At 40.4% G+C, this 15,393-nt stretch overlaps 1 long non-coding RNA gene across 1 annotated transcript in view, besides 2 other annotated features; it reads right to left on the reverse strand.

Moving 5' to 3' along the window:
- MIR924HG (MIR924 host gene) overlaps window positions 1–15,393 on the reverse strand; it is a 545,072-nt gene that overhangs the window by 356,938 nt on the left and 172,741 nt on the right. The gene's annotated exons all lie outside the window — the stretch shown is intronic.
- Window positions 1,347–1,977: an enhancer, noted in NCBI's record as "H3K27ac-H3K4me1 hESC enhancer chr18:37145172-37145802 (GRCh37/hg19 assembly coordinates)". NCBI's record gives its function as "activates a minimal SCP1, AML or CMV promoter by ChIP-STARR-seq in naive H9 embryonic stem cells {active_cell/tissue: H9 hESC(naive)}" and the evidence as "EXISTENCE:reporter gene assay evidence [ECO:0000049][PMID:30033119]".
- Window positions 1,978–2,607: an enhancer, noted in NCBI's record as "NANOG-H3K27ac-H3K4me1 hESC enhancer chr18:37145803-37146432 (GRCh37/hg19 assembly coordinates)". NCBI's record gives its function as "activates a minimal SCP1, AML or CMV promoter by ChIP-STARR-seq in naive H9 embryonic stem cells {active_cell/tissue: H9 hESC(naive)}" and the evidence as "EXISTENCE:reporter gene assay evidence [ECO:0000049][PMID:30033119]".

Consider the following 15,393-nt stretch of genomic DNA (forward strand, 5'->3'; position numbering starts at 1 on the left):
TAGAGAAAAAAAATACAGAAATTTCCAATTTGTCCAACAATAAGTGTTAAAACCTAATAGTACATAAATGTAAGAATTATCAAAAAGAAAGACAGCATAGATTTAATTAATTAAACTAGTCAAAAGAAAGAAATTCATCAAATCCTATGAAAATTATGTTGGAAATATGAATAACTATGATAATGTACTAGGAAAATGGAAATGACAAAATTGACATCAAAATTGATTTTTTAAATGAAAAAATAAAACTCAACCATACTGCTGGGCACAGTGGCTCACACCTGTAATCCCAGCACTCTGGGAGGCCGAGGCGGGTGGATCACAAGGTCAGGAGATTGAGACCATCCTGGCTAACACGGTGAAACCCCGTCTCTACTAAAAATACAAAAAATTAGCTGGGCGTGGTGGGGGGGGCACCTGTAGTCCCAGCTACTCGGGAGGCTGAGGCAGGAGAATGGCATGAACCTGGGAGGTGGAGCTTGCAGTGAGTCGAGATCGCGCCACTGCACTCTAGCCTGGGTGACAGAGTGAGACTCTCTCTCAAAAAAAAAAAAAAAAAAAAAAAAAAAAAAACACTCAACCACAGAGAAAATTTAGAAATTTATTAGAGTAATTTGTAAAAATTTGGCCTCCTAAGTTTTTTAAAATTGGTTATTTCTTTCAAAACTTTGCAAAATATGCATCTCTTGTGAAATGTTTGCTATTTATAAGCATATGGTAATGCCACAATAATTTGAACACCATGGTATTGTCCAGGAGCAAACAGACATGTCCAAGGGAAACATATTTATTCATGCTCCTATAGAAAGAGGAAAAGAAAATAAATCTGTTGCAAAAAGGGTAAGATAAATGGACAAAATATAATGAAAAGATTAAATAAATATTTCTATTATTTGAAGAAACTGTAAACTATTATTTCATATTCGACTTAACAAGTAATAAAAAGATAGACTAAGTTTTGTGTCACATTGTGACACCAACCAAACCAGCAGCTTGTAAAAGAGTCTTTATTGCTCAGTGCATGTTTTCCTATGTTTACGTCATTGTTAGGTCCTTGAGGTCAGAATATGTTATTATTTGCACTCTCTGTGGTGCTGAGCACCATTGTAAACATTCAGTAATTACATTCAAGTGAGAAGATGGACCTGATCTCATAGGTAAAAAGGGGGTCATCTGTCCTTGAGAAGCAGAAGGGTGGGTACCGGGAATGCGGAGCAGGTCAAAAGCACCAAACCTGAAATCTCATGAATTTAGGAAAGGTTTTCAAAAGAAGCTTAATGCACAGGAGTTGACGTTTAATTAATAATTCCTTTCTTGAGAGACTTAAGCAGCTTGGGCTGTTTTCAGCTCTTTCAAGTACTCTCTTCTGCTGATGTAGCGAGAAGCAGCAAATTCAAAGTAAAGCTAAAAGAAGCCTGGAAGCTCAGCCTCTGGGCAGTCATTTTCAGTATTTATGACTGCCTGTAAATGGCTAGTGAGCTGGTGGTAGCACCATTGATTCTATTTTTAACAGTTGACTCTTACAATCAATGGGATTGACCAAACCAACAGTGAAGTCAGCAGCAACAAGAGCATGGCCCAACTGCGGTCCATTAATGTGGCCTGTGGCTCCAGGTGGGTGTACACCACCAACAAAGCCTTGAGCCAGGGAACACACCCCCTCACACCAAATATACCCAACCTCTTCTCTCAACACCAGACGACCCCATTACCATAGAAAACTTGGTGGGCGAGGAGGAGCCAAGATGGCCGAATAGGAACAGCTCCGGTCTACAGCTCCCAGCGTGAGCAACGCAGAAGACGGGTGATTTCTGCATTTCCATCTGAGGTACCGGGTTCATCTCACTAGGGAGTGCCAGACAGTGGGCACAGGCCAGTGGGTGTGCGCAACGTGCGCGAGCCGAAGCAGGGTGAGGCATTGCTTCACCTGGGAAGCGCAAGGGGTCAGGGAGTTCCCTTTCCGAGTCAAAGAAAGGGGTGACGGACGGCACCTGGAAAATCGGGTCACTCCCACCCGAATATTGCGCTTTTCAGACCGGCTTAAAAAACGGCGCACCACGAGACTATATCCCACACCTGGCTCGGAGGGTCCTACGCCAACGGAGTCTCGCTGATTGCTACCACAGCAGTCTGAGATCAAACTGCAAGGCGGCAGCCAGGCTGGGGGAGGGGCGCCCGCCATTGCCCAGGCTTGCTTAGGTCAACAAAGCAGCCAGGAAGCTCGAACTGGGTGGAGCCCACCACAGCTCAAGGAGGCCTGCCTGCCTCTGTAGGCTCCACCTCTGGGGGCAGGGCACAGACAAACAAAAAGACAGCAGTAACCTCTGCAGACTTAAATGTCCCTGTCTGACAGCTTTGAAGAGAGCAGTGGTTCTCCCAGCACGCAGCTGGAGATCTGATAACGGGCAGACTGCCTCCTCAAATGGGTCCCTGACCCCTGACCCCTGAGCAGCCTAACTGGGAGGCACCCCCCAGCAGGGGCACACTGACACCTCACACGGCAGGGTATTCCAACAGACCTGCAGCTGAGGGTCCTGTCTGTTAGAAGGAAAACTAACAAACAGAAAGGACATCCACACCGAAAACCCATCTGTACATCACCATCATCAAAGACCAAAAGTAGATAAAACCACAAAGATGGGGAGAAAACAGAACAGAAAAACTGGAAACTCTAAAACGCAGAGCGCCTCTCCTCCTTCAAAGGAATGCAGTTCCTCACCAGCAACGGAACAAAGCTGGATGGAGAATGACTTTGACGAGCTGAGAGAAGAAGGTTTCAGACGATCAAATTACTCTGAGCTACGGGAGGACATTCAAACCAAAGGCAAAGAAGTTGAAAACTTTGAAAAAAATTTAGAAGAATGTATAACTAGAATAACCAATACAGAGAAGTGCTTAAAGGAGCTGATGGAGCTGAAAACCAAGGCTCGAGAACTACGTGAAGAATGCAGAAGCCTCAGGAGCCGATGCGATCAACTGGAAGAAAGGGTATCAGCAATGGAAGATGAAATGAATGAAATGAAGCGAGAAGGGAAGTTTAGAGAAAAAAGAATAAAAAGAAATGAGCAAAGCCTCCAAGAAATATGGGACTATGTGAAAAGACCAAATCTACGTCTGATTGGTGTACCTGAAAGTGATGCAGAGAATGGAACCAAGTTGGAAAACACTCTGCAGGATATTATCCAGGAGAACTTCCCCAATCTAGCAAGGCAGGCCAACGTTCAGATTCAGGAAATACAGAGAACGCCACAAAGATACTCCTCAAGAAGAGCAACTCCAAGACACATAATTGTCAGATTCACCAAAGTTGAAATGAAGGAAAAAATGTTAAGGGCAGCCAGAGAGAAAGGTAGGGTTACCCTCAAAGGGAAGCCCATCAGACTAACAGCGGATCTCTCGGCAGAAACCCTACAAGCCAGAAGAGAGTGGGGGCCAATATTCAACATTCTTAAAGAAAAGAATTTTCAACCCAGAATTTCATATCCAGCCAAACTAAGCTTCATAAGTGAAGGAGAAATAAAATACTTTACAGACAAGCAAATGCTGACCGATTTTGTCACCACCAGGCCTGCCCTAAAAGAGCTCCTGAAGGAAGCGCTAAACATGGAAAGGAACAACCGGTACCAGCCGCGGCAAAATCATGCCAAAATGTAAAGACCATCGAGACTAGGAAGAAACTGCATCAACTAACGAGCAAAATAACCAGCTAACATCATAATGACAGGATCAAATTCACATATAACAATATTAACTTTAAATGTCAATGGACTAAATTCTCCAATTAAAAGACACAGACTGGCAAGTTGGATAAAGAGTCAAGACCCATCAGTGTGCTGTATTCAGGAAACCCATCTCACATGCAGAGACACACATAGGCTCAAAATAAAAGGATGGAGGAAGATCTACCAAGCAAATGGAAAACAAAAAAAGGCAGGGGTTGCAATCCTAGTCTCTGATAAAACAGACTTTAAACCAAAAAAGATCAAAAGAGACAAAGAAGGCCATTACATAATGGTAAAGGGATCAATTCAACAAGAAGAGCTAACTATCCTAAATATATATGCACCCAATACAGGAGCACCCAGATTCATAAAGCAAGTCCTGAGTGACCTACAAAGAGACTTAGACTCCCACACATTAATAATGGGAGACTTTAACACCCCACTGTCAACATTAGACAGATCAACGAGACAGAAAGTCAACAAGAATACCCAGGAATTGAACTCAGCTCTGCACCAAGCGGACCTAATAGACATCTACAGAACTCTCCACCCCAAATCAACAGAATATATATTTTTTTCAGCACCACACCACACCTATTCCAAAACTGACCACATAGTTGGAAGTAAAGCTCTCCTCAGCAAATGTAAAAGAACAGAAATTATAACAAACTATCTCTCAGACCACAGTGCAATCAAACTAGAACTCAGGATTAAGAAACTCACTCAAAACCGCTCAACTACATGGAAACTGAACAACCTGCTCCTGAATGACTACTGGGTACATAACGAAATGAAGGCAGAAATAAAGATGTTCTTTGAAACCAACGAGAACAAAGACAACATACCAGAATCTCTGGGACGCATTCAAAGCAGTGTGTAGAGGGAAATTTATAGAACTAAATGCCCACAAGAGAAAGCAGGAAAGATCCAAAATTGACACCCTAACATCACAATTAAAAGAACTAGAAAAGCAAGAGCAAACACATTGAAAAGCTAGCAGAAGGCAAGAAATAACTAAAATCAGAGCAGAACTGAAGGAAATAGAGACACAAAAAACCCTTCAAAAAATCAATGAATCCAGGAGCTGGTTTTTTGAAAGGATCAACAAAATTGATAGACCGCTAGCAAGACTAATAAAGAAAAAGAGAGAAGAATCAAATTGACACAATAAAAAACGATAAAGGGGATATCACCACCGATCCCACAGACATACAAACTACCATCAAAGAATACTACAAACACCTCTACGCAAATAAACTAGAAAATCTAGAAGAAATGGATACATTCCTCGACACATACACTCTCCCAAGACTAAACCAGGAAGAAGTTGAATCTCTGAATAGACCAATAACAGGAGCTGAAATTGTGGCAATAATCAATAGTTTACCAACCAAAAAGAGTCCAGGACCAGATGGATTCACAGCCGAATTCTACCAGAGGTACAAGGAGTAACTGGTACCATTCCTTCTGAAACTATTCCAATCAATAGAAAAAGAGGGAATCCTCCCTAACTCATTTTCTGAGGCCAGCATCATTCTGATACCAAAGCCGGGCAGAGACACAACCAAAAAAGAGAATTTTAGACCAATATCCTTGATGAACATTGATGCAAAAATCCTCAATAAAATACTGGCAAACTGAATCCAGCAGCACATCAAAAAGCTTATCCACCATGATCAAGTGGGCTTCATCCCTGGGATGCAAGGCAGGTTCAATATACGCAAATCAATAAATGTAATCCAGCATATAAACAGAGCCAAAGACAAAAACCACATGATTATCTCAATAGATGCAGAAAAAGCCTTTGACAAAATTCAACAACCCTTCATGCTAAAAACTCTCAATAAATTAGGTATTGATGGGACGTATTTCAAAATAATAAGAGCTATCTATGACAAACCCACAGCCAATATCATACTGAATGGGCAAAAACTGGAAGCATTCCCTCTGAAAACTGGCACAAGACAGGGATGCCCTCTCTCACCGCTCCTATTCAACATAGTGTTGGAAGTTCTGGCCAGGGCAATCAGGCAGGAGAAGGAAATAAAGGGTATTCAATTAGGAAAAGAGGAAGTCAAATTGTCCCTGTTTGCAGACGACATGATTGTTTATCTAGAAAACCCCATCGTCTCAGCCCAAAATCTCCTTAAGCTGATAAGCAACTTCAGCAAAGTCTCAGGATACAAAATCAATGTACAAAAATCACAAGCATTCTTATACACCAACAACAGACAAACAGAGAGCCAAATCATGAGTGAACTCCCATTCACAATTGCTTCAAACAGAATAAAATACCTAGGAATCCAACTTACAAGGGATGTGAAGGACCTCTTCAAGGAGAACTACAAACCACTGCTCAAGGAAATAAAAGAGGATACAAACAAATGGAAGAACATTCCATGCTCATGGGTAGGAAGAATCAATATCGTGAAAATGGCCATACTGCCCAAAGTAATTTACAGATTCAATGCCATCCCCATCAAGCTACCAATGATTTTCTTCACAGAATTGGAAAAAACTACTTTAAAGTTCATATGGAACCAAAAAAGAGCCCGCATCGCCAAGTCAATCCTAAGCCAAAAGAACAAAGCTGGAGGCATCACACTACCTGACTTCAAACTATACTACAAGGCTACAGTAACCAAAACAGCATGGTACTGGTACCAAAACAGAGATATAGATCAATGGAACAGAACAGAGCCCTCAGAAATAATGCCGCATACCTACAACTATCTGATCTTTGACAAACCTGACAAAAACAAGCAATGGGGAAAGGATTCCCTATTTAATAAATGGTGCTGGGAAAACTGGCTAGCCATATGTAGAAAGCTGAAACTGGATCCCTTCCTTACACCTTATACAAAAATCAATTCAAGATGGATTAAAGATTTAAACGTTAGACCTAAAACCATAAAAACCCTAGAAGAAAACCTAGGCATTACCATTCAGGACATAGGCATGGGCAAGGACTTCATGTCCAAAACACCAAAAGCAATGGCAACAAAAGCCAAAATTGACAAATGGGATCTCATTAAACTAAAGAGCTTCTGCACAGCAAAAGAAACTACCATCAGAGTGAGCAGGCAACCTACAACATGGGAGAAAATTTTCGTAACCTACTCATCTGACAAAGGGCTAATATCCAGAATCTACAATGAACTCAAACAAATTTACAAGAAAAAAACAAACAACCCCATCAAAAAGTGGGCGAAGGACATGAACAGACACTTCTCAAAAGAAGACATTTATGCAGCCAAAAAATACATGAAAAAATGCTCATCATCACTGGCCATCAGAGAAATGCAAATCAAAACCACTATGAGATATCATCTCACACCAGTTAGAATGGCAATCATTAAAAATTCAGGAAACAACAGGTGCTGGAGAGGATGTGGAGAAACAGGAACACTTTTACACTGTTGGTGGGACTGTAAACTAGTTCAACCATTGTGGAAGTCAGTGTGGCGATTCCTCAGGGATCTAGAACTAGAAATACCATTTGACCCAGCCATCCCATTACTGGGTATATACCCAAAGGACTATAAATCATGCTGCTATAAAGACACATGCACACGTATGTTTATTGCAGCATTATTCACAAGGAGACTTGGAACCAACCCAAATGTCCAACAATGATAGACTGGATTAAGAAAATGTGGCACATATACACCATGGAATACTATGCAGCCATAAAAAATGATGAGTACATGTCCTTTGTAGGGACATGGATGAAATTGGAAACCATCATTCTCAGTAAACTATCGCAAGAACAAAAAACCAAACACCGCATATTCTCACTCATAGGTGGGAATTGAACAATGAGATCACATGGACACAGGAAGGGGAATATCACACTCTGGGGACTGTGGTGGGGAGGGGAGAGGGGGGAGGGATAGCACTGGGAGATATACCTAATGCTAGATGACAAGTTAGTGGGTGCAGCGCACCAGCATGGCACATGTATACAGATGTAACTAACCTGCACAATGTGCACATGTACCCTAAAACTTAAAGTATAATAAAAAAATAAATAAATAAATAAATAAATAAAAGAAAACTTGGTGGGCAAAGGCCCAGAAATAAATTATGCAGCTCTTTAGCACCCTCTGGTGTCCAATCTTACCAACACCCAAAACACGCTTGGGTTTTAAAAACTCTAAAACGAGCATTCCCGCCCAAAGCTATCCATCTCCTTGTAATGAACAGGGATCTGGAGTAGGGAATTCTTTTACCTGACATTACCATTCCCGTTGACTAAAGAAAACAACTACTGAGAAAAATTTCCCCTCAAACTATCATCTAATTAGGGGAACTGGTATCACCTCATCTTCGCATTTTTGCATGTAAGTAATATGAAACTGTCTGCTTTTAAATCTGGATTATCTTTTGGGTTACATAAAGTAAAAATTTTCTAGAAAATAGGTTGTTTATGTAGAATCCATTAACTAATTTGAATTATTTCAATAAGAGGAAAGTCAAAGAGATACTAACCAAACTAGCAGATTTATTTTCCTCTTGGCACTTCTCTCCACCCTTATCCATTAGGGAATGTTAGAATAGAAAAATGCCGTGCAGTGGGCATCAGATCTGGGCCGTAGGCTGGACTTCCCTTTCAGGTTGAAATAGACTGTGAACACATCACAATCTCTATGAACTTCAGTTTTCTCAACTATAGAACAAGCATATGGGCATAGGTCATCTTTACTAACTTGAGAAGGAAATTCAATATCCTATGAGGTTACCAGGGTTTGGGTTTCCATACTACCTGAAGATGGCTTATGGGTACACAGGGTTCATTATCTACCTGTGCATAGGTTTGAATCTTTTCATAATAAAAAAGTTAAATGACTTGCAGTTGGAATCAATTTTCCGTGTTCCCCTGAATATTAAATTATTGGGACTCTACAGCAATCCTGAACACATAAGAATGGTTGATTCTCATTTTAGACTCTCTCATGATTGTATATTTTGGAATAAGCGTTGGTAGTTCAATAAAATTTCTCCTTTTTTAAAAAAGGTGGCCTTAAGCAATATATGAGAAGAAGTGAATTAGGAGAGGGATTTCTGCAGAAAAGTGCCAAGTGTTCTTCATGTAAGTTTCTAACATAACCATGCTACTTATTAAGATCCTACTAGGTACCAAGAGTTTTAGATACCTCATTTTATTTAATCCTCCTAACATTCTTGCAAGGTAGATTTTATTATTCTCATTTTGTAGAAAAGAAAACTAAGCCTCAGAGATGCAAAGCAATTTGTCCAAGTTAACATGCAACTTGTACGGCCAATATTCAGACCTAGCTCACAGTAAACTCAAAGTCTGTTTTCTTTCCATAGAACCAGACTCTTAATTTAGAAAGCAAAGGTGAAGAGGAAGAAATTCCTAACTCCATTGTTCTGGCAGACTAGCTCAAGACTTTGTTTTCCTAAAAATAGATGGTTTAAAGAAGTCCTGGAAGCAGGCTGTCTGGTGTCTGTTAAGTCTCCCTGGCAATGAAAAGTATGTCGACCAATTTGGGACTCTCCCTATTGAGAGACACACAATCTACAGTAGAGCCTCTGCTTTCTTATTCACCTTGCTACAGACTGTAACTGAGCATCTACTATGTATCATATACTTCTACGGTGATAAAATAAAACTGGAGCTGTTTCTTTAAAAGCCTGTACTTGTCAGAAGAAATGTCACAAATGTCTCTACCTGAGACACAAGGAAGGCCTTGCCAATTCCCCCCTTATAAGAACTCACCACATTGTAGTATCCGGAGGAGGTCAGCTAACTGAGCTGGTGCCCACATCCATCTGCTGTTAGCCACTACAACTAAGGAAGCCTTTTGGGCCCACACTGCTAGGAAGTAAGGTCCGGTAAGAGAAGAGTAGAGAAGAGTCAGAATGTCTCCATACCTTATAAAGAATTGTGGAAATTCTGTTGCTAAAACTGTGTATAATTCCTCTGCAGTCACAGTGATGCATTACTGAGAAATCAAAACACCCACCTATATTCCAAATTGTCTCTCTGCTCTAACTTCTGTACCAGATACCTTACTCTAACTCATCTCAGAGACAGAACGGCAGGACTGATGTTCTAAGGCCAAAGAGGGCTCATTCTATTTGTCAAGTCTGTGGTTTTGCTTGGAAAAGAGAAAATTAAACAATTACGTGTTAGCTGATATTTCTCTTTGCTTTAGCATGGATTTCTCTTTCTGGATGTTCCAACATCTTGGATGACAACAAGAAGTCAAAGGCATTTGCCTGCGGGGCGCGGTGGCTCACGCCTGTAATCCCAGCACTTTGTGAGGCCGAGGTAGGTGGATTACGAGGTCAGGAGATGGAGACCATCCTGGCTAACACGGTGAAACCATGTCTCTACTAAAAATACAAAAAAATTAGCCGGGCGTGGTGGCGGGTGCCTGTAGTTCCAGCTACTCGGGAGGCTGAGCAGCAGGAGAACGGCGTAAACCCGAGAGGCGGAGCTTGCAGTGAGCCCAGATCGCGCCACTGTACTCCAGCCTGGGCAACAGAGCAAGACTCCGTCTCAAAAAAAAAAAAAAAAAAAAAAAAAGGCATTTACCACAATTTCCTCCAGCCAGAGTGGCTTAATGTACTTTTCCAGGCTTTGAAAGATACTACATTGTCACTAAGAGTTCTGATAATTCTGCAAAGAGATGAAAGTGGCAGATCCTGGAAAGAAAGAGCCAGTTTCCCTTGGTGTTACGTTGCAGATTCTTAGTTCTGTGGGTCTTCAGCATTTTCACTATAGGAAACTCTCATGACTTACAGACCTAGAGATCAGAGATGGAAACAAAGAGAAGGAAAACAAACACTATAGAAAGAAAAAAAAAAGGAGGGCAATCTAGCAAGACAAAAACAGCTAGGTAGTTTAGGATGGAATGCATAAATGCAAATGCGAAGACATTTTTCTCTTGCAAAGCTCCAGAGATATTGCAAATTCAAGCTTTTAGAAAAGCAAACAGTATTATCATATTTTTAATTTTTTTCTTTCCATTTCTTCTTAGCTTATACTAAATCCTCCATTTTCCCTTCTAATTCTTTATTTCAGGATCACTGGATTCTACTGTGTTTGAGAAAAAAAAAAGTAGGAACTATAAACTTAAATTATAGCCAATCAGATTGTACTCACAGCTCAACTGCTAGACAAATTGCAGCTCATGAAATTTGCTATGGGTCAGGAGACTGAGTAATTTTATTTTAATCAGTCTTATTTGAAGCTGGAACGCCTTTGCAGCAAATCCTCTGAACAGGATTTCAGACAGGATATGGACTAGTCTTTTCTCATCTCTTTTCCTTTGTTTTCTTTTTTCTTAGTAAACTATTTCACGTTTCTGACAAATAATGAGAAATAAAAGTTGAAATGGTCAAATTTTATTGCAGTTCTGAGTGAAAGCTTGTCTGGAGCTTAGGCTGGCTCCAGCCTTTCTTCCAATGCAGTATTAAGCTCTCTGAATCTCATTTCTAGCATTTATTTACATAGTTAAGTCCCAGGCGGAACTCAGGCCCAGCCCCAAGACCACAAATGCTCTGCTGATTGTGGGGCCTTGCAGTGGTTCGGATTATCCGGGACATTATTCATGTCACAAGAGACCTTGCAGGCTAGTGCTAAGTTGGATGGACAAAATCACTGCAACACAGCTACCTCCTCAGGAAGTGGGGAGCAAATAAGACCCTTGCAGAGTCACCAAGTATGGGATGGATACAACATTAACAATTCACAGCAATGTCTCAAATTTGTAATGCAATATTTGCTGCATCTCACAATACAGAGTCGCACCTCAAGAGAGGATAAACAACAGTCACTCTATTTAGTCCAAGAGGCAGGGTAAGCATCTCATGCACTATTCTCTCCTCTAACTTTGAAACCCAGTTTGCGGAAGGATCCATACAACAGTTAAACCTGTGAACAGGAAAAGATCTGCTTTTTAAGAAAGGGAATTTAGCAAAAGCCCAACCTGCCTGATGTCAGCTCACCCAAATGCAGTCCCGCACAGGCTGGTTTTGAAGAACCAGTACCTTCTGGTTCATGTGCACCTCATATGCATAAAAATGATTCTAGTGGGAGTAACTGAAGGGCTAGAACTGTCTATGCCATTCCTCTTCCTTATCATGTTATTTATCCTTTATATTTTTCAACTCTAGTTTCTTCGTGTTTTTTGTTTGTTTGTTTGTTTGTTTGTTTAGGTCAAAGAAATTGATAACACTCACCAAATAATTTGTGATAGCAAAATTCTGGCAAACTAGCCAATGGAGAAACACATAAAAGGCTAGCTTGACATTTTAGGAGGCTTATTAACTTAATGCAGGCTTATTTGTAATCCTTCATTTCAGGTCAAACACAAGGATAAACAACATGAGAAAGACATTGTTAGTGTCCTCAAGCAGCTGAAGACCTTAGGTGGCCAATCATCTGAGGATATGGGACAGGTCAGGTGTAGCTGCACTTTTCTGCCAGGATGGAACAGAAAATGGCAAGAGACCTAGCTGGAGAGTTCTTTCTACTAAAAGATGATAATAGCATAATCCAGTGAGGTCACCCTCTTTGATAACTATGTTAGCTCACACTTATTTTATACTTACTTTGTGCCAGAATTGTGTAACATGCTTTATACATGTAACTGTATTTAATTCTCACATCAGGGCTATGGAGTTTTCACTAATGGTGTCATACCCATTATACAGAAAAGAAACTGAGTCACAGAGTTTCTGTAATTTATTCAAGGACAACCAACCAATAAGGGACAGAATCAGGATTCCAATTCAGGTAGCCTTGTTTCTGTAGTTAGCTAGTCAGACATGAGCAGGGCAGGACAGGAATCCCTTAGCCCCCACACTAGGAATGTCAGGTGACCATCAGGTGATGGTGAGGCAGTTGTTAACTGCCTCACCAAAATTATAATTGGTTGCAACCAGCTCCAGGGGAAGCCAGTCTCCCATTAGGTAGAAAAACCTGAAACTGATGATCAGAAGCTTCTTGATAAGATCTCAGGAGCTGGGCACGTGGGCTCAAGCATGTGCATTAAGAGGCAAAGTGGCAGAGTTTAACTAATGTATGACCTTGTAAGGACATTCAACTGGTAAGGGAAGAACACCACAAGTGAGCATGTACAACTCTAGTAAACATACTGTGCATGCTCACCTCCCATGTGCCAGCTGGCCACTGTGCATGTCGACAGCCCACCTCAAGGGAAGAATCAGGGGAGAAGAGATGCAAGACCCTGAAAGTAGGCCAACATATAAAACTCCAAGTCAAAGGTCAAACAGTACACTTGACCTCTTGAGGAATCAACATGGCGTGCTTCCAAGTGTACTTTACTTCCTTCCATTCCTGCTCTAAAGCTTTTTAATAAGCTTCTACTCCTGCTCTAAAACTTGCCTTGATCTCCCACTCTGACTCAGTCAATTCTTTCTTCTGAGGAGGCACGAACTGAGGTTGCTGCAAATATGTATAGATTTGCTGCTGTAACATACTTTGGTGCCATGTACCGCTAACAGGCTGACTCTAAAGCATGTGGTTCCATTTCTAAGAAGTATAAAAACATTATTACCTTTCTTGACATGAATCTAAGAAAAGAAATTTTTCCTTCTTAACTTTAAGGAGCTCTGCATGTGACTTTGTCTAAATCCTCAAAGGGAAAGAAATACGTATTCCTTAATAAGTGAATTAGAATTGCAATCTGCATATCTTAAAACCATTTTTTTTTTTTGCTTAATGGGGGTGCCCTGAAACTAATAATTGTATTTCAAATAAGCTCTCATAATTGTTACTTAATTCTTTTGCCTTTATCTGGAGCCTTTTTTTAATAAAGAGAAAATAAGAAATAAACAAGAAAAAATAAGCTTATCCAAGAACCATTTCTCTTTAGTCCTTCATTTTTCACCAAGAAACATATAGTTTGTGCTAAGAAGTTTTTTTTTTTTTTTTAACCAACCACAAAAAGTTTCCAATGAGTTTCTTAAGAACTTGATTTTATTACAGGGCAAGTAATTATCACAAACATTTAACAGTAATTTAAATGATTTTCCTACTTCATTGTAAACTCCTGAAGGATACGTTTATTTGTTGGAGTCTGAGACTGACATTTTAAAATGTATGATCCTAAATTTGTATTTCCCCCAGCATCCCCAAACTCTGCCTTTCCTCTAAAACTTTACTCACTGCTCTGACATGTTTTGTTGACTGAAAACATTCTCTACATAAACTTCATGGAGTTAGTGTTGAATTTCTGCAGTGAATGCATTTTTCATGATTAAAAGTCACAGCATGCTTCTTGTCTGCGGAACACCGTTCTAGGAGAGCAGTCATTCTTCCTTATGAGTTCCTAAGTCACAACCAGTTTTAAACTTTGATTCATTTCAAGATACGTAGATTTAGCAACAAAATTGTGGCTCTGTGAATTTGGGACAAAGTATCTACTTTGCCATTTTATTTTTATGCAAGTTTTGTATACAAGGAGGACATTCCAGATACACCTTATCAGTCAGGGTCCCAGTAGAAAAGGAATGAAGGATACAATTTAGAATAATTCCAGGAGGATCTAATTACCAAGATGTGGGTTGGTATAGAGGAAGTGTAAGTAGGGGAGGAACCTGGGATTAGCTGTCAAGCAGCTGTGATTATCAGCCCTATGCCTGAAGGGCAACAAGAGGAAGAAGTTACCAGGATCCACAAGGACAGTGTCACAGTAAACAGGCCACCCTCAGAAAAGCAGTGATCTTCTGTTGAAGAACATATCTGTCCTAAGAAGACATTACAGGAAAAAAGGCAGGTAATAAATACCCACCCTTCAGCTCCTGTCTCCCTTTTTCCCTTGTCTTCCTGAGGCTTATATTGACATGAAAGCCAGATGGTGTGGGAGTCCCTTAATGTAGTCCATTAGAGGTCAGTCCATTACAGATGTAAGAAAGATGGAGAAGCTAGAGAAAAGTTCTGGGGGCAAAAGTAAAATGTCCTGCGTAAGCTGTAACACTGTATTACTATAGCAAGGGTCCAACACAACTTGTTTCCGTATCTGCTCTGGCACTTAGCAGACGAGTTACCTTAGGCAAGTTAATTGGGCTCACTAAGCCCGGATTTTCCACTCCGTAGTATGAAGATTCAGATTTCTCCCCTAAAGGGATTAAATGAAAGAATGTAGATATATCACCAAGGCTAGTGCCTGGAACAAAGGAAGAACTTAGAGAGGATTTTTTTCCCCATTCCCTTTCCAAGCGGCAACCGGTTTTCCATAACCATTCTTATTCTCATCCTGATTTCTCCTTTGATTAATATCAGATATACACAGAGAGGATGTCTTACTTCTTGAGAAAATGTGAAGGTATTTGTTCAGGAACTTAACCCACAACTTTATCTTCTTTAGAGCTATGCTAAACCAAATGAATAAACCAACAGTCGCAGGGTAGTTTTCTGATGATAAATTTTAAAGTACTGCATCCAATCAGATATAAGTTAATAAATTTTCATTTTTTAAAAATACTTATTTCCTGAAGTAATTGATAAGGCATGTTTCTCAAATATGTCTGCTTAGTGACTAACTGAGGCTCATGGGTCATTGAAGTGACAGTCCCTTTGTTTCAGGGATAGATTCCCATGGAGAAAGTCAACTCTGTTCTGCTAGTGACACATCTCCATTCATCTGGACCTTCTGTAACCATATCTTGGCTC

Source organism: Homo sapiens, chromosome 18 (assembly GCF_000001405.40).
Source record: "Homo sapiens chromosome 18, GRCh38.p14 Primary Assembly".
Lineage (NCBI taxonomy): Eukaryota > Metazoa > Chordata > Mammalia > Primates > Hominidae > Homo > Homo sapiens.